At 47.1% G+C, this 23,508-nt stretch overlaps 1 long non-coding RNA gene across 1 annotated transcript in view, besides 2 other annotated features; it reads right to left on the reverse strand.

Annotated features, from left to right (window-relative positions):
- LOC105374946 (uncharacterized) overlaps nt 1-5,737 on the reverse strand; it is a 33,129-nt gene extending 27,392 nt beyond the window's left edge. Inside the window, exon 1 of the long non-coding RNA XR_926520.1 lies at nt 5,665-5,737. This is a non-coding gene — a long non-coding RNA (uncharacterized LOC105374946). The remainder of the gene's footprint in view (nt 1-5,664) is intronic.
- Nucleotides 5,069-5,269: a silencer, noted in NCBI's record as "peak5677 fragment used in MPRA reporter construct". NCBI's record gives its function as "represses an SCP1 promoter by STARR-seq MPRAs in K562 erythroleukemia cells {active_cell/tissue: K562}" and the evidence as "EXISTENCE:reporter gene assay evidence [ECO:0000049][PMID:32103011]".
- Nucleotides 22,769-22,969: a silencer, noted in NCBI's record as "peak5678 fragment used in MPRA reporter construct". NCBI's record gives its function as "represses an SCP1 promoter by STARR-seq MPRAs in K562 erythroleukemia cells {active_cell/tissue: K562}" and the evidence as "EXISTENCE:reporter gene assay evidence [ECO:0000049][PMID:32103011]".

Genomic DNA, 23,508 nt, shown 5'->3' on the forward strand with positions numbered 1-23,508 from the left:
GCGGCCTCTAATGAGGTTGCGCCTTCTCAGTTCTGAAACAAGCAGTCAATTGATCCCTTCACAAGAACACCTGGTCTATTTCGAGAAGGAAAAAATTAGTGAAACCTGTTGTTGGCTGAGTTTACCAGTCAATTCTGTTAAATTGTGGCATTGGTAGCAATAGGGAGGCATGGTTCATTAAAAATACCATTCGGGGAAATCCTAAGGCAATGGGATAGTGATTACTGAACTAATTCTATTGGCCTGAAAGAGTTAATTCAGCTCCTAAAGGGAAGCAATTTACTTTCTATTCCCCCCGAGGATGGACCAGGCTCTTAAGGAGTTTCATACAATGAGGCTGTTTTTTACCACCCCTCCCCTCCACTCCCCTCACGTAAAGTCCCCCTGACAGTTGTCAAGCCCAAGATGAAGATGGGGTGTACTGGCAGGGTCACCTGGCATTACTCACATGGGCCCCTCTCAGGCAGCCTGGGTAATGCTGAATAAATCCATGCATGCAAGGAAAGGGCACAAGGACAAATCCTCTGACTTTGTGTGTCTGGATTCTAAACACCTACCCAAATTCTAAGCAGCACAGCCAGATAAATCCATCAACCAGGGTGGCTAAGGGATACCTAATTTATATGCAACCTTGGCAGTGTATCACTGGGCCCAAAGTGCCAGTGTAAACAGTTCTGGACAGGCCCCCATCCTGCTTCAGCAGAGAACAGACACCATCCTCCTGGACCACAAAGGTCCTCATTGCAAATGAAAAGGCGGGAGGGGGTCACGTTCAGGAGAGCAGAGTTAAATGAATAACACATGCCCTTCCAGATACGTGTGTGTGCTTTTTAATAATTAATTATGAAAAGTGTCAAACATAGATCAAAATAGCTATCATATAATGAAACCCCTATGCACCCGTGACACAGCTGCAACAATTAATAACTTATGGCCCATCTTATTTCAACTGGACCCCACCCACTCACCCCACGACAATGTTATCTTGAAGCAATCCCCAGACTTCTTATAATTTCATCCATAAATATTTTCAAAATATTTCTAAAAAATCAGATCTCTCTCTTTTTTAAAAAACAAACCTAAAATAATTACTACCCCTAAAAAAAAAAAAAAAGAAAGAAACAACCAGGCCAGGCTCAGTGGCTCATGCCTGTAATCCCAGCACTTTGGGACGCCTAGGTAGGAGGAACACTTGAGGCCAGGAGTTTCAGACCAGCCTGGACGACATAGTGAGACCCCATCTCTACTAAAAAATAGAAAATGAGCTGGATGTAGCGTCACGTGCCTGTAGTCCCAGCTACTCAGGAGACTGGGGTGGGAGGATTACTTAAGCCCAGGAGGTCAAGGCAGCAATGAGCCATGATCCCGCCACTGCGCTCCAGCCTGGGTGACAGAGTTATTTCTTGTCTCTAGGAGAGTAAAAAAGGCCAGGCAAATGGCTCACACCTGAAATACCAGCACTTTGGGAGGCCGAGGTGGGTAGATCACAAGGTCAGGAGTTCGAGACCAGCCTGGCCAACATGGTGAAACCCCATCTCTACTAAAAATACAAAAAAATTATGTGGGCGTGGTGGCACACACCTGTAATCCCAGCTACTCAGGAGGCTGAGGTAGGAGAATTGCTTGAACCCGGGAGGTGGATGCTGCTGTGAACCGAGATCATGCCACTGCACTCCAGTCTGGGCAACAGAGTGAGACTCCATCTCAAAAAATAAATAAGTTAAATAAAATTAAAAAATACAGCTGGGCACGGTGGCTCACGCCTGTAATCCCAGCACTTTGGGAGGCCAATGCGGACAGATCATGAGGTCAGGAGATTGAGACCATCCTGGCTAACACAGTGAAACCCCATCTCTACTAAAAATACAAAAAAATTAGCTGGGCATGGTGGCAGGTGCCTATAGTCCCAGCTAGTCGGGAGGCTGAGGCAGGATAATGGCGTGAACCTGGGAGGCAGAGCTTGCAGTGAGCCGAGATTGCACCACTGCACTCCAGCCTGGGCGACAGAGCGAGACTCCATCTCAAAATAAAATAAAATAAAATAAAATAAAAAATACAAAAATACAAAAAAATTAACCAGGTATGCTGGCACTTGCCTGTAGTCCCAGCTACTCGGGAGGCTGAGGCAGGAGGATTGCTTGAACCCAGGAGGCGAAGGTTGCAGTGAGCTAAGATCGCACCACTGCACTCCAGCCTGGGTGACAGAGCGAGACTCCATCTCAAAAGAAAAAAAAAACAACAGCAAACCCTTTTGACACATGCTACAACATGAATGAACATTGAGGACACTGTGCTGAATGAAATAAACCAGACATAAAAGGACAAATATAGTCTGCTTCCACTCATATGAGGTATCTGGAGTAGTAAATTCATAAAGACAGATAATTGAATGGTGGTTGCCAGGAGCTGGAGAGAGGAGGGAATGGGCAGTTAGTATTTAGTGGACACAGAGTTTCGATTTTGGAAAATGAAAACCATTCTGCCATTGGATGGAGGTGATGGTCGCACAATAATGTGAATGGACTTAATGTCACTGGACTGTACACTTGAACATGATTTAAATGGCTGGACGCGGTGGCTCACACCTGTAATCCCAGCACTTTGGGAGGCTGAGGCAGGCGGATCACCTGAGGTTGGGAGTTCAAGACCACCCTGACCAACATGGAGAAACCCGTCTCTACTAAAAATACAAAATTAGCTGGATTTGGTGGCCGGTAATCCCAGCTGCTCGGGAGGCTGAGGCAGGAGAATTGCTTGAACCCAGGAGGAGGAGGTTGTGGTGAGCCGGAGATCGCACCATTGCACTCCAGCCTGGGCAACAAAAGTGAAACTCTGTCTCAAAAAAAAAAAAAAAAAAAAAGATTAAGATGGTGGCCGGTAGCAGTGGCTCATGCCTATAATCCCAGCATTTTGGAAGGCCAAGACAGGCGGATCACCTGAGGTCAGGAGTTCGAGACCAGCCTAGCTAACATGGTGAAACCCCGTCTCTACCAAAAATACAAAAATTAGCTGGGCGTGGTGGCGGGCTCCTGTAATCCCAGCTATTCAGGAGGCTGAGGCAGGAGAATTGCTTGAACCCGGGAGGCAGAGGTTGTAGTGAGCCGAGATCATGCCACTGCACTCCAGCCTGGGCAACAAGGGCAAAACTCTGTCTCAAAAAAAAAAAAAAATATATATATATATATATACAAAAATTAGGCAGGCATGGTAGTGCGCACCTGTAATCCCAGCTACTCAGGAGGCTGAGGCAGGAGACTTGCCTGAGCCTGGGAGGCAGAGGTTGCAGTGAGCTGAAATCAAACCACTGCACTCCAGCCTGGGTGACAGAGCAAGACTGTCTCAAAAAAAAAAAAAAAAGGATAAAATGGTAAAATTTATGTTGTGTGTTTATATTTGGCCACAAATTTTTAAATGGTAGGGGTTTTTTTTTTAACAAAAAAACTTTCATATCATAAACTATTCACTAAGTGTTGAAATTTTCTCATAAATATCAAAAATTTTGTTCAGTTTGCTTGCATCAGAAGCCACATAAGGTTCACGTACTGTGGCTGGTGAGCAGGTCTTTTAAAAACCTACATATTCCCTGCCAGCCTCCTGCTTTTCCCCATTACAATTTATTCATGGAAAAACTTTTCCTGTAAAGTTTTCCACAGTAAATAGTTAGCTCCTCACACACATCCTTATGGGGTCTTCTCTGTTTTTCTCTTTTTTTTTTTTTTTTTTTTTTGAGTCCTGCTCTGTCATCCAGGCTGGAGTGCAGTGGTGTGATCTCGGCTCACTGCAATCTCCAACTCCCAGGTTCAAGCGATTCTCCTGCCTCGGCCTCCCGAGTAGCTGGGATTACAGGCATGCACAACCACACCTGGCTAATTTTTTTTTTTTTTTTTTTTTTTGTATTTTCAGTACAGATGTGGCTTTCACCATGTTGGCCTGGCTGTCCTCAAACTCCTGGACTCAATCAATCTGCCCACCTTGGCCTCCCAGAGTATAGGATTATACGCATAAGCCACAGTGCCCTACCTTTGTCTTCTTGAATACTGAAAGTTAAATCAAGAGACCAGCTCAGATTCAAGTTTGATGTTTTTGGCAAGACCACTGCCTAAGTCCAACTACGCCACTGTAAGAGTATATGAGTGGCCCAAAATGTGAGTGTGCAAAATTCATCAACAAACTATGATGAGCAACCCAGTCCATGCTCCCACCATCAGTGGTCTTAGAACAGGGGTAGGAGGAATGAGAGGAAATATCCACACACACACGCACAAAATTTGTTTCTGGTTTTTTTTGGGTTTTTTTTTTTTTTTTAAGACGAGGTTTCACTCTGTCGCCCAGGCTGGAATACAGAGGCACAATCTTGGTTCACTGCAGCCTCAAACTCCCTGGGCTCAGGTGATCCTCCTGCTTCAGTCTCCCAAGTAGCTAGAACTATAGGTAAGTGCCACCACACCAGGTAAATTTATTGTATTTTTTTGGTGTTATATTTTTCGTGTAGAGACAGGGTTTAACAATATTGCCCAGACTAAAACAAAAAAACATTTTAAGACAAAATCTTTGTCATCAAGGAACCTGAAATCTTGTTAAGATGGCAAAACTGATACATGCAGAACAATTAATAATTAAGTGCAGGCCAGGCATGGTGGCTCACGCCTGTAATCCCAGCACTTTTGGGAGGCCAAGGTGGGCAGATCACCTGAGGTCGGGAGTTGGAGACCAGCCTGGCCAACATGATGAAACGCTGTCTCTACTAAAAGTACAAAAAAAAAAATTAGCCAGTTGTGGTGGTACATGCCTGTAATCCCAGCTACTCGGAAGGCGGAGGCAGGAGAATCGTTTGAACCCAGGAGGTGGAGTTGGCAGTGAGCCGAGATCGCGCCACTGCACTCAAGCCTGGGCAACAGAGCCAGACTCTGGCTCAAAAATAATAATAATAAAGTGCAAAACTGCTATGACTATCAAACCCTATGTCATTCTAAGGGTGAGATCATCTAAGAAGGTTTTAGGTCGTATAAAGTTCCTGAAATGGATCTTGAAGGATTGTTAGATTTTTGGAAGAAAGAAGGCATTCTAGGAAGTGAAAACTATACAAAGAAAAGCACAAAGGTTGGCATTTGGAGGCGGATAGAGAGGATAATTTAAACAGACTGAGAAAGATAATATAGGGGAATGAAAAGTCAACAGAGAAATAAGCGTTGGAAGAAGCCCACTGATCTCTAGAGATTAAGAATCAGTTGTTACTTATGTTTTGGCATGCACACTTAGGCAAAATTCTAAAGGCCTATAAATATTGTGGGTGTTTTGAGGATCTGATGTCTAATATATTTTAATAGAAGAATTGAGGTGTTATCTGAATGAAATCTTTTCCAGCTGAGTTCATCCTTTCTAGAGACGAAACACATTAAACTTTTTTTCATGAAAAATACAGTTAGAACTTGTAAAATGTTGGGGGTGAAGGGTGGAGGAAATGTACATGAAAAAGATGGAAAAAGAGTTGGTAATTGTTGAAGCTGAGTGATGGGTATATAGGGCTCATTATGCTGTTCTCCCTACTTTTGAGTATGTTTGAAACTTCCATAATAAAAAGTTATTTGTAAACCTATTGCTATTGGGGTCAAGGGTCCTTCCCACGTTCCATGTTTCCCATGTTATAGGAAAAAAAAGACTCACTAGACCGGAAGATGCGGTGCTTGTCTCTTCTGTTGTCAGGCTGTTTAACTCTGAGCCAATTACTTCACCTTTGTGGGTCTCAATTCCCTTCTCTGTAAAATGAAGGGAAAAAGGAAAAGAACTACTGCTTATTGAATGCCTACTATGTGCAAGAATTTTGCGGTGCACTTTATACACACGCTGCAAGTACCAACAGGATGGACGCAATGTTCTCCTTAGTCTCCAAAGTTTCTTTCCCTCTCTAGGCGTCCAGGAATTATCCACTTAACTTCAGTTCGTGATTGGATAAACCCATGTGGCGAATGCCTGGCAAGTCTGAGGAGACATACAGATAAAAAAGACAGTTCCTGTCTTCAACGACTTTGTTATCTAGAAGGACAGCTAGGACAAATGAGTGTAATACAACTGATCAATGTTATAATAACTGTTATAACAACTAAATAGGAAAGATACTAAATGTTTTACCTTACATGTAGTGTGCATCCCTACAATATGAGAAAATGATGCAATGGTGTACTGATAGAACCAGATGGTGCTGGGTGGGGGTCCTGTAAGAGGAACACTCATCCCCTAATGAGGGGATCAGAAGGTTTCATAGAGGAGACAGTGTCTGTGTTACGTTTTTTAAAAAATAAACTTGTTGCTGGGCATGGTGGCTCACACCTGTAATCCCAGCACTTTGGGAGGCTGAGGCAGGTGGATCGCGAGGTCAGGAGATCGAGACCATCCTGGCTAACACTGTGAAACCCTGTCTCTACTAAAAGTACAAAAAAAAAAATTAGCCAGGCATGGTGGCGGGCGCCTGTAGTCCCAGCTACTCGGGAGGCTGAGGGAGGAGAATGGCATGAACCCAGGAGGTGGAGCCTGAAGTGAGCCGAGATCATGCCACTGTAATCCAGCTTGGGCGACAGAGCAAGACTCTGTCACAAAAAAATAAATAAATAAATAAATAAATAAATAAATAAAAATAAACTTGTTGGCCGGGTGCGGTGGCTCATGCCTGTTATCCCAGCACTTTGCGAGGCTGAGGTGGGTGGATCACCTGAGGTCAGGAGTTCGAGACCAACCTGGGCAACATGGTAAAACCGTGTCTCTACTAAAAATACAAAAATTAGCCAGGCATGGTGGCACTTGCCTGTAATCCCAGCTACTCGGGAGGCTGAGGCACAAGAATTGCTTGAATCTGGGAGGCAGAGGTTGCAGTGAGCTGAGATAGCACCAGTGTACTCCAGCCTGGGCAACAGAGTGAGACTCCATCTCAAATAAATAAATTAATTAAATGAGCCAGGTGCAGTGGCTCATACCTGTAATCCTAGCACTTTGGGAGGTCGAGGCGGGTGGATCACCTGAGGTCAAGAGTTTGAGACCAGCCTGGCTAACATGGGGAAACTCCATCTCTACTAAAAATACAAAAAAATTAGCTGGTTGTGGTAGTGGGCGTCTGTAATCCCAGCTACTTGGGAGGCTAAGGCAGGAGAATCACTTGAAACTGGGAGGCAGAGGTTGCAGTGAGCTGAGATCACGCCACTGCAGCCTGGGCAACAGAGGCAGACTCTGCCTCAAAAAAAAAATAAATGGATAAATAAAAATTAAAATAAATAAATAAAATGCAATTATACAGTATTTGTCCTTTATTGTCTGGCTTCTTTCACTTAGCATAATCCCCTCAAGGTTCATCTATGTTGTAACACATGCCAGAATGGCCTTCCTTTTTAAGGCTGAATAATATTCCATTGGATGAATATACATTTTATTTATCCATTCATTCATTGATGACCACTTGGGTGGCTTCAACCTTTTGGCTATTATGAATAAAGCTGCTGTGAAGACAAGTGTATAAAAATCTGTTTGTGGCCGAGCGCGGTGGCTCACGCCTGTAATCCCAGCACTTTAGGAGGCAGAGGCGGGCATATCACCAGGTCAAGAGATCGATATCATCCTGGGCTAACATGGTGAAACCCTCCTCTCTACTAAAACACAGACAAAAAATTAGCTGGGCATGGTGGTGTGTGCCTGTAGTTCCAGCTACTTGGGAGACTGAGGCAGGGGAATCACCTGAACCAGAGAGGCAGAGGTTGCAGTGAGCTGGGATCGCGCCACTGCACTCCTGGCAACACAGCGAGACTCCATCTCAGAAAAAAACAAAAAACAAAACAAAACAAAAACCGGGGGCTGAGCTCAGTGGCTCACGCCTGTAATCCCAGCACTTTGGGAAGCCAAGGTGGGCAGATCACCTGAGGTCAGGAGTTTGAGACCAGCCTGGCCAACATGCTGAAACCCCATCTCTACTAAAAATATAAGAATTAGCCATGCCTGTAATCCCAGCTACTCAGGAGGCTGAGACAGGAAAATCACTTGAACCCAGGAGGTGGAGGCTGAAGTGAGCCAAGATTGTGCCACTGCACTCCAGACTGGGCCACAGAGCAAGACTCGGTCTCAAAAAAAAAAAAAAAAAAAAAAAAAATCTGTGTTCCTACTTTCAGTTCTTTTGGGTATATACTATGATAAGTCTTGAAGAATGAGAAGGAATTAAGTCAAAAGGGAAAGATAAGCAGTCCAAGAAGAGTGAGTAACTTGTGTAAAGGCACAGGGAGCTATAGTTCAGTTGGCTGTAGAACAGAGAGAGAGGATACGTGCTGAGACAGGAAACTGCAGAGAGAGGCAGGCGCTAGACCTTGAGGGACCTTGTGTGAGAATGGACAGTGAGGGCTAAAAGCAGCCTCAGGTCAAATCCCTGTTTACACTGCTAATGTTGTTTTCTTTTTAACTTCTAAAAAATATTTTAGGCTGGGCACGCCTATAATCCCATCACTTAGGAAGGCCGAGGTGGGTGGATCACCTAAGGTCAGGAGTTTGAGACCAGCCTGACCAATATAGTGAAAGCCCATTTCTACTAAAAATACAAAAATTATCCGGGCATGGTGGCGTGCGCCTGTAGTCCCAGCTACTTGGGAGGCTGAGACAGGATAATTGCTTGAACTCAGGAGGTGGAGGTTGCAGTGAGCTGAGATTGTGCCACTGCCCTCCAGCCTGGGCAATAGAGCAAAATTCCATCTCAAAAAAAAAAAAAAGTATATATATATACACACACACACACACATAAATACACACACGCACACACACGCACATATTTAATCTTTATTCTTTTGTAAAATGTAGAGATTGAATCTCACTATGTTGCTGCCCAGGCTGGTCTCAAACTCATGGCCTCAAGGGATCCTCCTGCCTCAGCCTCCCAAAGTGCTGGGATTACAGGTGTGAAGCAGCACACCTGGCCTTCACTGCTTTTTTTTTTTTTTTTTTTTTTTAAGACAAAGTCTCACTTTCTCATGCAGGCTGGAGGGCAGTGGCACCATTTGGGCTCACTGCAGCCTCGACAACCTGGGCTCAAGTGATCCTCCTACCTCAACCTCCTAAGTAGCTGGGACTACAGGGGCCTGCCACCACACCTGGCTGCTTTCTGTATTTTTTGTAGTGACAGGTCCTCGCCATGTTGCCCAGGCTGGTCTCGAACTCATGAGCTCAAGCCATTCACTTGCCTCAGCTTCCCAAAGTGTTAAGATTACAAGCATGAACCACTGTGCCTGGCCTCACTGCTATTCTTAAAGTGACCACTGTAATGTACCTTTAAGCAACTACTCAAAAACAATGTTTTTCCAGCAAAAAGGTTGGGACCTAATGCAAATGATCACTAGAACATGAACACACATCGTTGTGACCCGAGTCTTATGTTTCCCTCACAATAGTCCCCCTCGCTCTACAGAAGTTCAATTAATAGTAGTGGAATGCTAAATTGACTAATTACTTATGGTCAATGGATCTGTGCTATTTCACAAAATCTTTTGCTCAATATAGTATTCTCTAATGCATTGCTTTTATTTGACTGAATTCTTTTCAGAATCAACTAAGCCAGAGCACAAATCCGATTATGAGATTGTACATTTAACTCTCCAGCTGACTTTCTCTGTAAGGCAGGATGAATCCCTTCAGTCATGTTGAAAATGGTGCCAAGTGGCCGGGAGCGGTGGCTCACGCCTGTAATCCCAGCACTTTAGGAGGCCAAGGCGGGCAGATCACGAGGTCAGGAGATCGAGACCATCCTGGCTAACATGGTGAAACCCCGTTTCTACTAAAAATACAAAAAAATTAGCCAGGCTTGGTGGCGGGCACCTGTAGTCCCAGCTACTCAGGAGGCTGAGGCAGGAGAATGGCGTGAACCTGGGAGGCAGAGGTTGCAGTGAGCCGAGATCACACCATTGCACTCCAGCGTGGGCGACAGAGCAAGACTCCGTCTCAAAAAAGAGAGAGAAAATGGTGCCAAGTAAACTCTTGGACCCACACAGATATGAATTGATTTTATGACAGTGCAACCAAGGCTCCCATAATCTATTTATTTCTATAATTAGTATTTTTTTTTTTTTTGAGATGGAGTCTCGATCTGTCGCCCATGCTGGAATGCAGTGGCGCGATCTCAGCTCACTGCAGCCTCTGCCTCCCAGGTTCAAGCAATTCTCCTGCCTCAGCTTCCTGTGTAGCTGCGACTACAGGTGCCGGCCACCATGCACAGCTAAATTTTTTTGTATTTTTAGTAGATATGGGGTTTCACCATGTTGGTCAGGCTGGTCTCAAACTCCCGACCTTAGGTGATCCACCCGCCTCAGCCTCCCAAAGTTTTGGGATTACAGGCGTGAGCCACCGCGCTCAGTTTATAATTAGTCTTAATCCCATGTGAACCCAGTTGCATTGTAGAGAAATAGATGGCAAGCTCTGAGTGTGTGTGTGTCTGTGTGTATGTGTGTGTAGCACAGTTTAATACTGGTAGTATTTGGGTATTTCTCACAATGTTAAGGAACGCTGTAGCATCACAAATGGACAAGCACTTCTCACAAGAGGATCCATGAATAATGTCCATGTGTTCTTCAGGTAGTTTCACTTTTCTGGAATTTATGTTTATGCTTTTGCTTATCAAGTGAAATAATAGTAAAAGTTAAGAACCACTGTGTTAGGCCAGGCGCAGTGGCTCACGCCTGTAATCCCAACACTTTGGGAGGCTGAGGCAGTTGGATCACCTGAGGTTGGGAGTTCGAGACCAGCCTAGTCAACATGGTGAAACCCCCGACTGTACCAAAAATACAAAAATTAGCTGGGGATGGGGGCGGCCGCCTGTAATCCCAGCTACTCAGGGGGCTGAGGCAGGAGAATCGCTTGAACCCGGGAGGGAGAGGTTGCAGTGAGCCGAAATTGTGCCACTGCACTCCAGCCTGGGTGACAGAGTGAGACCCCGTCTCAAAAACAAAAAAAAAAGAACCACTGTGTTGATTTTTCAACAAAAGTCACTTGTCAGATGGAGGTTTGCTTTGTCTGTACGTGTGTGTGGTGGTGGGAAGGTGGGGATGCGTGGGGTCACTTCAGTTGGTGATGAGTAAGATGGTTCACAGATCCAAAATGCCATAAAACCAGAGCTCTGGGCTGGATCTCTTCAAACATTGCTCCCAAAGTAGCCAGAGTCTAAAGTGACCTCAGATATCAGGTAGCAATACAAAAAGTCAGCAATATGAACTGGGACCAAGGCAGGAGGGACGTCCCCAGACACTTTGATCAAGGCCCAGTGGTCGTGGCAAAAGACAGCCTGGTCCTCCTGCTTTAGGGACCAATCACTGCACACATGAAGTTTGATCTTCATCTCTCAGGATCATGAAGTTTTTTTTTTTTTTTTTTCAAATGAGTTGGTTTGATTCCAGGTGATACAGAAATTAGAGTAGAACAAAAACCAGAGCAGCTGAGCAAATTCACAGCTAAGGTAGGAATGGCTGAGTGAAAAATCTGAAGAGATCATGAGCCACTATAATATATATATATATATTTTTAACAAAAGTTTATTTTTAAATGGACCACACGGGCCAGATGTGGTGGCTTATACCTGTAATCCCAGCACTTTGGGAGGCTGAAGCAGGTGGATCATTTGAGCTCAGGAGTTCAAGACCAGCCTGGGCGACATGGTGAGACCTCGTCTCTACTAAAAATACAAAAAAATTAGCCAGGCCTCATGGCACACACCTGTAGTCCCAGCTACTTGGGAAGCTGAGGTAGGAGAATCACTTGAACCCGGGAAACGGAGGTTTCAGTGAGCCAAAACAGAGGGAGATTTGTCTCAAAAAAAAAAAAAAAAAAGGACCACAGGCTGCAAGATAACACTTTATTCTAGATGTAGGTGGCAAAGGATGTTATACTAGGGAATCCAGATATTTAATTTTATTTAATATTTTTTCTTTTAATTTTTTTTTGGTTTTTTTTTTTTTTTTTTGAGATGGAGTCTTGCTCTGTCTCCCAGGCTGGAGTGCAGCCTTGGCCTCCCAAAGTGCTGTCATTACAGGTGTGAGCCACTAAGCCCAGACTTTATTTTTTTAATTCTATTTTGAGACAAGGTCTGGCTCTATCACCCAGGCTAAAGCGCAGTGGAGTGATCTTGGCTCACTGCAACCTCTGCCCCCTGGGCTCAAGCAATCCTTTCACCTCAGCTTCCTGAGTAGCTGGGACTACAGGTGCACACAACCACGCCCAAATAATTTTTGTATTTTTTGTAAAGACAAAGTTTTGCCATTTTGCCCAGGCTGGTCTCGAACTCCTGGCCTCAAGCAACCTGTCCACCTCAGCCTCCCAAAGTGCTGGGATTAGAGGCGTGAGCCACTGTGACCAGCCTCCTTCTTCTTCTTTTTTTTTTTTTTTTTTTTTGAGATGGAGTCTCCCTTTGTCTCCCAGGCTGGAGTGCAGCAGCGAGATCTCAGCTCACCGCAACGTCCGCCTCCCGGGTTCAAGTGTTTCTCCTGCCTCAGCCTCCCAGGCACCCACCATCATACCCAGCTAATTTTTGTATTTTTAGTAGAGACAGGGTTTCACCCTGTTGGCCAGGCTGGTCTGGAACTCCTGACCTCAAGTGATCCGCCCACCTCAGCCTCCCACAGTGCTGGGATTACAGGCATGAGCCAGGGTGCCAGGCCGCTCCTTGTGTCTTAAAATCAACTCTGAGGTGTATGGGTGATAAGAAGAATTCATATTTATCATACTCTCTTTTATTCAATTTAAATGTGTTGCTAAGTATTATATACTGTATTTGCTTAGGATTTAAGTTCAATTGTATATAACAGAACTTCATCTCCCCCCTGCCCTGCCAAAAAAAAAAAAAAAAAGGCATACATGAGACAGTAGCTTATTTCAGCCTCAGATATAAGCATGACTGTTGGCACTTGGGGTGGTGGAGTGGCCCCAGTTGCCATTCTGCCACCCACAGGTGTTGGCCTGCCACATGAGTGAAGATGGCTCAACACTGAGGCCCTGTTCCAAGTCACAGGGGAGAGGGAGGTTGGTGAAAGAGGAATACCACCTCTCTTTAAGGGTGCATTCCAGAAGTGGCACTTCCAATGGCCACAATTAATCACATGGCCATAAGCAACTGCAAAGATTGCTGGAAATGTAGCCATTATGAGTGACAACGGGGTTCTCTGACAAGGAAGAAGGGCAGAGAAGTCATTAGCGGACTAGCAATCTCTGCAAATATGTTTTATCTTTTTCTAAAAAAGGAAAAAAACGAAAAAGAAAATGTAGTTCTAAAAGAGAACCCCCCCCCCACTCCACATTTTACCTGGTGGTGGATTCCCCCTCCTCCCCGTTTCAACCTAAAAGTCATTTCCTCAGAGAACCTGCCTTGGGTTTTCCCCTTTCTTCCTTTCACCATCTCTGGCCCCCTTTGAGATGAGATCTCTGTTATTCTCTGTCAACAGCATTTCTCTTCAGAGCACTTACCATCAGTGACATGAATGACTCACTATTATGACTACATGTATGATGTCTGGCTCCTGAACTGCACTCAGAGCTTTGTAAGGACAGGTATTGAACCTGCCCAATTCACAGGTGCCCCTTGGCAAAGTCTCTAGCCAAATCTCTCTGCTGGGCACGGTAGCTCACACCTGTAATCCCAGAACTTTGGGAGGCTGAGGCAGGTGTATCACCTGAGGCCAGGAGTTCAAGACCAGCCTGGCCAGTATGGTGAAACCACATCTCTACTAAAAATACAAAAATTAGCCAGGTGTGGTGGCATGCGCCTGTAATCCCAGCTACTTTGGAGGCTGAGGCAGGAAAATCACTTGAACCTGGGAGGCAGAGATTGCAGTGAGCTAAGACCACGCCATTGCATCCCAGCCTGGGCAACAAGAACAAAACTCCATCAAGGAAGGAAGGAAGGAAGGAAGGAAGGAAGGAAGGAAGGAAGGAAGGAGGGAGGGAGGGAGGGAGGGAGGGAGGGAGGGAGGGAGGGAGGGAGGAAAGGAAGGAAGGAAGGAAGGAAGGAGCCAGACGAGGTGGCTCATGCCTGTAATCCCAGCTCTTTGGGAGGCCGAGGCGGGGAGGCAGAGGTTGCAGTGTGCTGAGACCACCCCATTGCACCCCAGCATGGGCAACAAGAACAAAACTCCATCAAGAAAGGAAGGAAGGAAGGAAGGAAGGAAGGAAGGAAGGAAGGAAGGAAGGAAGGAGTGAGCCGGACGCGGTGGCTCATGCCTGTAATCCCAGCTCTTTGGGAAGCTGAGGTGGGCGGATCATGAGGTCCAGAGATCGAAACCATCCTGGCTAACATGGTGAAACCCTGTCTCTACTAAAAATACAAAAAATTAGCTGGGCATGGTGGCGGTCGCCATAGTCCCAGCTACTCAGGAGGCTGAGGCAGGAGAATGGCGTGAACCCGGGAGGCAGAGCTTGCAGTGAGCCGAGATATCACCACTGCATTCCAGCCTGGGCGACAGAGTGAGACTCCATCTCAAAAAAAAAAAAAAAAAAAAAGGAAGGAAGGAAAAAGAAAGGGAAGGAAGGAAGGAAGGAAAAGAAAGAAAGAAAGAAAGACAAAGAAAGAAAGAAAGAAAAAGAGAGAAAGAAAGAGAGAGAAAGAAAGAAAAAAGTTATGGTGTTCACAAAAAGATTCTCAATTATGGACATAACCAATTTGCTTGAATTCATTTTGATTTTAAAAATAAATAGGCCAGGCATGGTGGCTCACACCTGTAATCCCAGTACTGTGGGAGGCCAAGGTGGGTGGATCACGAGGTCAGGAGTTCGAGACCAGCCTGGCTAACATGGTGAAACCCCATCTCCACTAAAAGTACAAAAAGTAGCTGGGCATGGTGGTGAGCACCTGTAATCCCAGCTACTCAGGAGGCTGAGGCAGGAGAATTACTTGAACCAGGTGGGCGGAGGTTGCAATGAGCAGAGATCATGCCACTGCACTCCAGCCTGAGCAACAGAGCAAGACTCCATCTGAAAAAAAAAAACCAAGATCATCATATGCAATGCATGTACCTTGATTGGATTCTAAATCAGGGGAAAATAGTATAAAGGATATTTTGGAGACAAATGGGGAAATTTAAATAAACTGTGCTGGCCGGGTGTGGTGGCTCACACATGTAATCCCAGCGCTTTGCAAGGCCAAGGAGGGCAGATCACGAGGTCAGGAGTTCGAGACCAGCCTGACCAACATGGTGAAACCCCATCTCTACTAAAAATACAAAAATTAGCCGGGCATGGTGGTGTGCGCCTGTAATCCCAGCTACTTGGGAGGCTAAGAATAGCTTAAACATGGGAGTCTGTCTGAAAAAAAAAAAGGATATATATATATACACATATATATGTATGTATATACACACACACACACACACACATATATAGATTGTGCTATTGTCTGAATTTTATTTTGTTTTGTTTTGTTTTTTGTTTTTTTTGAGACGCAGTCTCGCCCTATCACCCAGGCTTGAGTGCAGTGGCACGATCTAGGCTCACTGCAACCCCCGCCTCCTGGGTTCAAGGGATTCTCCTGCCTCAGCTGCTGGAGTAGCTGGCGTTACAGGCACCCGCTACCACGCGTGGCTAATTTTCTTTTTCTTTTTCTTTTTCTTTTCTTTTCTTTTTTTTTTTGAGACGGAGTCTCACTCCGTCACCAGGCTGGAATGCAGTAGCACAATCTTGGCTCACTACAACCTCCGCCTCCCAGGTTCAAGTGATTCGCCTGCCTCAGCCTCCCCAGTAGCTTGGACTGCAGGCTCATGCCACCAAGCCCAGCTAATTTTTGTATTTTTAGTAGAGACGGGGTTTCACCATGTTGGCCAGGATGTTCTTGATCTCTTAACCTTGTGATCTGCCTGCCTCGGCCTCCCAAAGTACTGGGATTACAGGCGTGAGCCACCACAACCAGCACTCTGAAAGTTTTTGCTGCCCCAAAATTCATACGTTGAAACCTAACCCTCAAGGAGATGATATTAAAAGCTAGGGTTCATTGGGAGGTGAGGTGAGTAGGTCATGAGAATAGAACCCTCATGAATGGGAGGCCTTAGGAAAGAGGCCCCAGGCAGGGCACGATGGCTCACGCCTATAATCCCAGCACTTTGGGAGGCTGAGGCAGGTGGATCACCTGAGGTTGGGAGTTCGAGATCAGCCTGGTCAACATGATGAAACCTGTCTTTACTAAAAATACAAAACTTAGCTGGGCGTGGTGATGTACGTCTGTAATCCCAACTACTCGGGAGGCTGAGGCAGAAGAATCATTTGAACCCGGGAGGGGGAGCTTGCAGTGAGCAGAGATTGTGCCACTGCACTACAGCCTGGCTGACAAGAGCGAGACTCCATATTACAAAAAAAAAAAAAAAAATGGTCAAACCCCAATTCGACTAAAACAAAAATTAGCCAGGCGTGGTGCCACACATCTGTAGTCCCAGCTAGTTGGGAGGCTGAGGAACAAGAATTGCTTGAACCCAGGGAGCAGAAGTTGTAGTGAACCGAGATAGCACCACTGCACTCCAGCCTGGGCGACAGAGACTTTCTCTCAAAAAAAAAAAATTTAGGGAATCAGCATGAAAGAAAATAGTCCCCTTTGTCTGTTTCTCTAACATGTTTTCACCAAAGTCTTCGTTTTTGTTTTTTGTTTTTTGTTTTGAGACACAGTCTCACTCTGTCGCCGAGGCTGGAGTACAGTGGCACTGTGTCAGCTCACTGCAACCTCCGCCTCCTGGGTTCAAGCAATTCTCCTGCCTCAACCTCCTGAGTAGCTGGGATTACAGGTGTCCACCACCACGCCTGGCTAGTTTTATATTTTTAGTAGAGACGGGGTTTCACCATGTTGGCCAGGCTGGTCTTGAACTCCTGACCTCAGGTGATCCGTCTGCCTCGGCCTCCCAAAGTGCTGGGATTACAGGCGTGAGCCACTGCACCCGGCCTGTTTTCACCAAAGTCTTAAAGACAGATCCAATATATTACTTTTTAAAAATAAGTTTCTATATCCAAGAGGATATAGGATAAGGCAAGAGGAAATTCAAGGGACATGTAAGGCAAGGTATGGGGGAAGGGGCTCAGAGCTTCCATGGCCTCCCTGGTTGTGCCACCCTTCAGGAGGCTCCACTTTTTCAAGTATCCAGAAGCTCCTGAACCCTGTCCTCGTGGATTTTCACGGAGGCTTCATGACATCAGCATTCCTTACCTCAGGGTATAGGATGGGACCCTCTTATGGGAGGGTCTTAAGACCCACAATCAGTCTTTGCCGCCGCGCCGGCGAGCGCCGCCCGGGAGGCAGCGGCTGGAGGAGCGGACGGGCCCCGCGGGGCCCGAGGGCAAGGAGCAGCCGCCGGCCTTGGCCTCCCAAAGTGCCGAGATTGCAGCCTCTGCCCGGCTGCCACCCCGTCTGGGAAGTGAGGAGTGTTTCTGCCTGGCCGCCCATCGTCTGGGATGTGAGGAGCCCCTCTGCCTGGCTGCCCAGTCTGGAAAGTGAGGAGCGTCTCCGCCCGGCCGCCATCCCATCTAGGAAGTGAGGAGCGCCTCTTCCCAGCCGCCATCACATCTAGGAAGTGAGGAGCGTCTCTGCCCGGCCGCCCATCGTCTGAGATGTGGGGAGCGCCTCTGCCCCGCCGCCCCATCTGGGATGTGAGGAGCGCCTCTGCCCGGCCGAGACCCCGTCTGGGAGGTGAGGAGCGTCTCTGCCCGGCCGCCCCGTCTGAGAAGTGAGGAGACCCTCTGCCTGGCAACCGCCCCGTCTGAGAAGTGAGGAGCCCCTCCGCCCGGCAGCTGCCCCGTCTGAGAAGTGAGGAGCCTCTCCACCCGGCAGCCACCCCATCTGGGAAGTGAGGAGCGTCTCCGCCCGGCAGCCACCCCGTCCGGGAGGGAGGTGGGGGGGGGTCAGCCTCCCGCCCGGCCAGCCGCCCCATCAGGGAGGGAGGTGGGGGTTCAGCCCCGCCGCCCGGCCAGCCGTGCCATCCGGGAGGGAGGTGGGGGGGTCAGCCCCCCGCCTGGCCAGCCGCCCCGTCCGGGAGGTGAGGGGCGCCTCTGCCCGGCCGCCCCTACTGGGAAGTGAGGAGCCCCTCAGCCCGGCCAGCCACCCCGTCCGGGAGGGAGATGGGGGGGTCAGCCCCCCCACCCGGCCAGCCGCCCCGTCCGGGAGGGAGGTGGGGGGGTCAGCCCCCCGCCCGGCCAGCCGCCCCGTCCGGGAGGGAGGTTGGGGGGTCAGCCCTCCGCCCGGCCAGCCTCCCCGTCTGGGAGGTGAGGGGCGCCTCTGCCCGGCCGCCCCTACTGGGAAGTGAGGAGCCCCTCTGCCCGGCCAGCCGCCCCGTCCGGGAGGGAGGTGGGGAGGTCGGCCCCCCGCCCGGCCAGCCGCCCCGTCCGGGAGGGAGGTGGGGGGGTCGGCCCCCCGCCCGGCCAGCCGCCCCGTCCGGGAGGGAGGTGGGGGGGTCGGCCCCCCGCCCGGCCAGCCGCCCCGTCCGGGAGGGAGGTGGGGGGGGGGTCAGCCCCCCCGCCCGGCCAGCCGCCCCGTCCGGGAGGTGAGGGGCGCCTCTGCCCGGCCGCCCCTACTGGGAAGTGAGGAGCCCCTCTGCCCGGCCAGCCGCCCCGTCCGGGAGGGAGGTGGGGGTGTCAGCCCCCCGCCCGGCCAGCCGCCCCGTCCGGGAGGGAGGTGGGGGGGGTCAGCCCCCCCGCCCGGCCAGCCTCCCCGTCCGGGAGGTGAGGGGCGCCTCTGCCCGGCCGCCCCTACTGGGAAGTGAGGAGCCCCTCTGCCCGGCCAGCCGCCCCGTCCGGGAGGGAGGTGGGGGGGGTCAGCCCCCCCGCCCGGCCAGCCGCCCCGTCCGGGAGGTGAGGGGCGCCTCTGCCTGGCCGCCCCTACTGGGAAGTGAGGAGCCCCTCTGCCCGGCCACCACCCCGTCTGGGAGGTGTGCCCAACAGCTCATTGAGAACGGGCCAGGATGACAATGGCGGCTTTGTGGAATAGAAAGGCGGGAAAGGTGGGGAAAAGACTGAGAAATCGGATGGTTGCCCTGTCTGTGTAGAAAGAAGTAGACATGGGAGACTTTTCATTTTGTTCTGCACTAAGAAAAATTTCTCTGCCTTGGGATCCTGTTGATCTGTGACCTTACCCCCAACCCTGTGCTCTCTGAAACATGTGCTGTGTCCACTCAGGGTTAAATGGATTGAGGGCGGTGCAAGATGTGCTTTGTTAAACAGATGCTTGAAGGCAGCATGCTCGTTAAGAGTCATCACCAATCCCTAATCTCAAGTAATCAGGGACACAAACACTGCGGAAGGCCGCAGGGTCCTCTGCCTAGGAAAACCAGAGACCTTTGTTCACTTGTTTATCTGCTGACCTTCCCTCCACTATTGTCCCATGACCCTGCCAAATCCCCCTCTGTGAGAAACACCCAAGAATTATCAATAAAAAAATAAATTAAAAAAAAAAAAAAAGAGGAAATTCAAATGCTCTCAGAGAAAGCAAGAGGATGCTGATAGAATTGACCTGGATAAGTCGGGGGCATGGCGGTTCACGCATAAACCCAGCACCTTAGAAGGCCGAGATGAGAGGATCGTTTGAGCCCAAGAGTCAGAGCCCAGCCTGGACAACATAGGGAGACCCCACCTCTACAAAAAAATAAAATAAAATATCACAAAATAAAATAAAAGAATTTATCTAGATAGATATGTCTGTCACAACTACTTTGAGAAAAGCTTCTGGAATATGACCAATAACCCCAGGACCCATCAATTTATGGCCACTCATGAAATACCAAAGCACATGACTAGCAATATTTAAGGAGTCTTCCTACTCACTGTGAAGAAGCATCCAGAAGAAAAAAAAGTCATACATCATTTTAGAATATTAAAAAGTCTGATAAGAGAATTTGATTAGTGTTTTTTTTTTTTTTTTTTTTGAGACAGAGTCTCACTCTGTCTCCCAGGCTGGAGTGCAGTGGCATGATCTCAGCTCACTGCAACTTCTGCCTCCTGGGTTTTACGCCATTCTCCTGCCTCAGCCTCCCGAGTAGCTGGGACTACAGGCATGCACCAGCAACGCCCGGCTAATTTTCTTGTATTTTTAGTAGAGATGGGGTTTCACCATGTTTGTCGGGATGGTCTTGAACTCCTGACCTTGTGATCCACCCGCCTCGGCCTCCCAAAGTGCTGGGATTACAGGCATGAGCCACCGTGCCCGGTGAGAATTTGATTAGTTTTTGTCCTCATTTCAAGGAAGGCCACTTCCAGAATGAGGGCAGAAATGAAGTACGTCTTAAAACAAAGGCTAGGAGCAAAAGAGGGAATGGAAAATACAAACTAATTGGGAAGCATTCTGTGTACACACAGCCACATGCATGACGCTGGGTTTATGGCATGACTCTTCCATTTTCACCAAAGACACCTTTCCTAGGGCTGCCACAACAAACTACCACACACTGGGTGGCTTCAAACAATAGAAACTTATTCTCCACAGTTGTGGGATCCAAAAGTTCCAAACTGAGGTGCCAGCAGGGCCACACTCTCTCTCCTAGCTTCTGGAAGTTGCTGGCAATTCCAGATTTTCCCTGTATTTTCCCTGTATTACAGCTGCTTACTCCAACCTCCGCTTCTGCCATCACACGGCTTCGTTGCTCTCTGTGTCTGTGGCTTCACGTGGCCCTCTTATTTCTGTGTCGTCTCTGTGTCTCTTCTCCTCTTCCTACAAGGACACTACACATATTAGATTTAGGAGGTCCACCCTAAATCATCTGAATATAGCTTTATTTTATTTTATTTTATTTTATTTTATTTTATTTTATTTTATTTTATAAGACAGAATCTCAATCTGTTGCCCAAGCTAGAATGCAGTGGCGTGATCTTGGCTCACTGCAGCCTCTGCCTCCCAGGTTCAAGCGATTCTTGTGCCTCAGCCTTGCAAGTAGCTGAGAGTACAAGTACGCACCACCACGCTTTTTTTTTGTTTGTTTATTTGTTTGTTTGTGTGTTTTGAGACCGAGTCTCGCTCTGTCGTCCAGGCTGAAGGGCAGTGGCACAGTCTCGGCTCACTGCAGCCTCTGCCTCCAGGTTCAAGCTATTCTCATGCCTTAGCCCCCTGAGTATCTGGGACTACAGGAGCATTTTTTTATTTTTATTTAGTTTGTTTATTTATTTGTTTGTTTGTTTTTTGGAAGGGAGTCTCTCTCTGTCGCCCAGGCTGGAGTGCAGTGGCACAATCTCAGTTCACTGCAGCCTCTGCCTCCTAGTTTCAAGTGATTCTCCTGCCTCAGCCTCCCAAGTAGCTGGGATTACCTGTGCGTGCCACCATGCCTGGCTAATTTTTGTATTTTTAGTAGAGATGGGGTTTCACCATGTTGCCCAGTCTGGTCTCCAACTCCTGAGCTCAGGCAATCCACCTGCCTCGGCCTCCCAAAGTGCTAGAATTTCAGGCATGAGCTACGACACCTGGCCTGAACATACCTTAACTACATTTGCAATTACTTTATTTTAAAGTAAGGTCCAATTGGCAGGCACCAGGAGTTAAGACATCAACATGGTTTTGGGGTGAACATAATTTAACCTTCAACAGCACTAAATAGTTAGCCAGTTGACTAGTACCATATTTAATTGATCATCTACATAAGAGCTTCAGGACCTGTGGGTTAAATCTAGGCCAAAAAGAAAAATCTAGGCCAAAAGATATGGTCTCTTCACTCAAGAACTTGTAGGAGAATAGTTATTATAAAACAATTTTGAAGGCCATTATTGCTAAAAAAAATTCATATTAGTGCTGTTTATAAGGTTAAAAAATAGAAACAACCTAATTATCCAATTATAAGGTTTTATAAAAGTAGAGTGACTAATTCATCCTAGTTTGTACAGGACTTTCCAATAAAAGTTCTCTATCCCAAGAACCCTCTCCAACTGAGGCAAGTGGGAATGGTTGGTCACCCTATAGCAATGCAGTAGACTAACAAGCAATTTCATTTAAAAATATGCTAACAAAGATTTTTTTTGAGGATATAGGAAAATGTTTATGATATAATGTTAAGCAACAACAAAAAAAGCAAAATTCAAAAGGCTATAACCAGTATAATCTTAATCATGCAAATTACCAAAAAAAAAGTTTTTATAGAAAAATAACTGGTACAAAGTATGCTAAAAGGCTAACTGCAGTTGCCTCTATATAGTGGGATTTTAGAAAATTTTCTTTGATGCTTCTTTACACTTAAATAATGTACTTCCCAAATTTTCTCTCAGTGAATATGCATTGCTTAATCGGGAAAAAAATTAAAGGAAAAAACAAATAATACATTTCTGGATGGAAATTAGCCTCTTAGGCTGGGCACAGTGGCTCACGCCTGTAATCCCAGAACATTGGGAGGCTGAGGCAGGCAGATCACCTGAGGTCAGGAGTTCCAGACCAGCCTGGGCCAACGTGGCGAAACCCCATCTGTACTAAAAATACAAATATTAGCCGGGCATGGTGGCACATGCCTGTAATCCCAGTTACTTGGGAGGCTGAGGCAAGAGAATCGTTTGAACGTGGGAGGCAGAGGTTACAGTGAGCCGAGATTGCGCCACTGCAGTCCAGCCCGGGCGACAGAGCAAGACTCTGTCTCACAAAAAAAAAAAAAAAAAAAAAGGAAATTAGCTTCTTAAATTTCTACTACAATTACTCTCATTGAATAATTAAAATAACAGTCTTAATAAGTATTTACTATGTGCTGAACAATAGAACTTATTTTATCATTATTCCTTACTATAAAACCACTCTGCAATGAAGGTATTGCTGTGATCACCATCTTTCAGACGAAGAAACTAAGGCTCTCAGAGGTGACTAACTTGCCAGCTGGATAATGGACAAGCTAGGACTCCAGCCCCTCTCTGAACCACAATAGTACTCAGGAACCTTATCCATTTGATCAATGTCTGCAGCAGCACGTTCTAGTGTACCCCACTATTTCCCCAAGTGTTTCCTATGAGACTCCCTCAAGCTGCTGATGTACACAAATAAAAGGAAGTCTGAGTTGAAGTGGTTCATAGAAAAGTTCAGAAAAGAGGTCAAGCACAGTGGCTCACACCTGTAATCCTAGCAATTTGGGAGGCCGAGCCCAGTGGATCATCTGAGCTCAGGAGTTCAAGACCAGTGTGGTCAACCTGGAGAAACCCCGTCTCTACTAAAAATACAAAAATTAGCCAGGCATGGTGGTACACACCTAGAATCCCAGCTACTCGGGAGGCTGAGGCAGGAGAATCGCATGAACCCAGGAGGCAGAGGTTGCTGTGAGCAGAGATCACGCCCCTGCACTCCAGCCTGGGTGACAAAGTGAGACTCCATCTCAAAAAAGAAAAAAAAAAGTTATTTTTCTCACTCATTTGTATAAATATAATTATTACTAGTTTTTTATTCTTATTCTTTGTGCATTCCTTTGACATTTTTTTTCTTTCTTTCTTTCTTTTTTTAATTTTTGAGACAGAGTTTCACTCTTGTCACCCAGGCTGGAGTGCAATTGCATAATCTCAGCTCACTACAACTTCCACTTTTAGAGTACAAGCATTTCT

The sequence above is a fragment of the Homo sapiens genome, chromosome 6 (assembly GCF_000001405.40).
Source record: "Homo sapiens chromosome 6, GRCh38.p14 Primary Assembly".
NCBI classification, from domain to species: domain Eukaryota; kingdom Metazoa; phylum Chordata; class Mammalia; order Primates; family Hominidae; genus Homo; species Homo sapiens.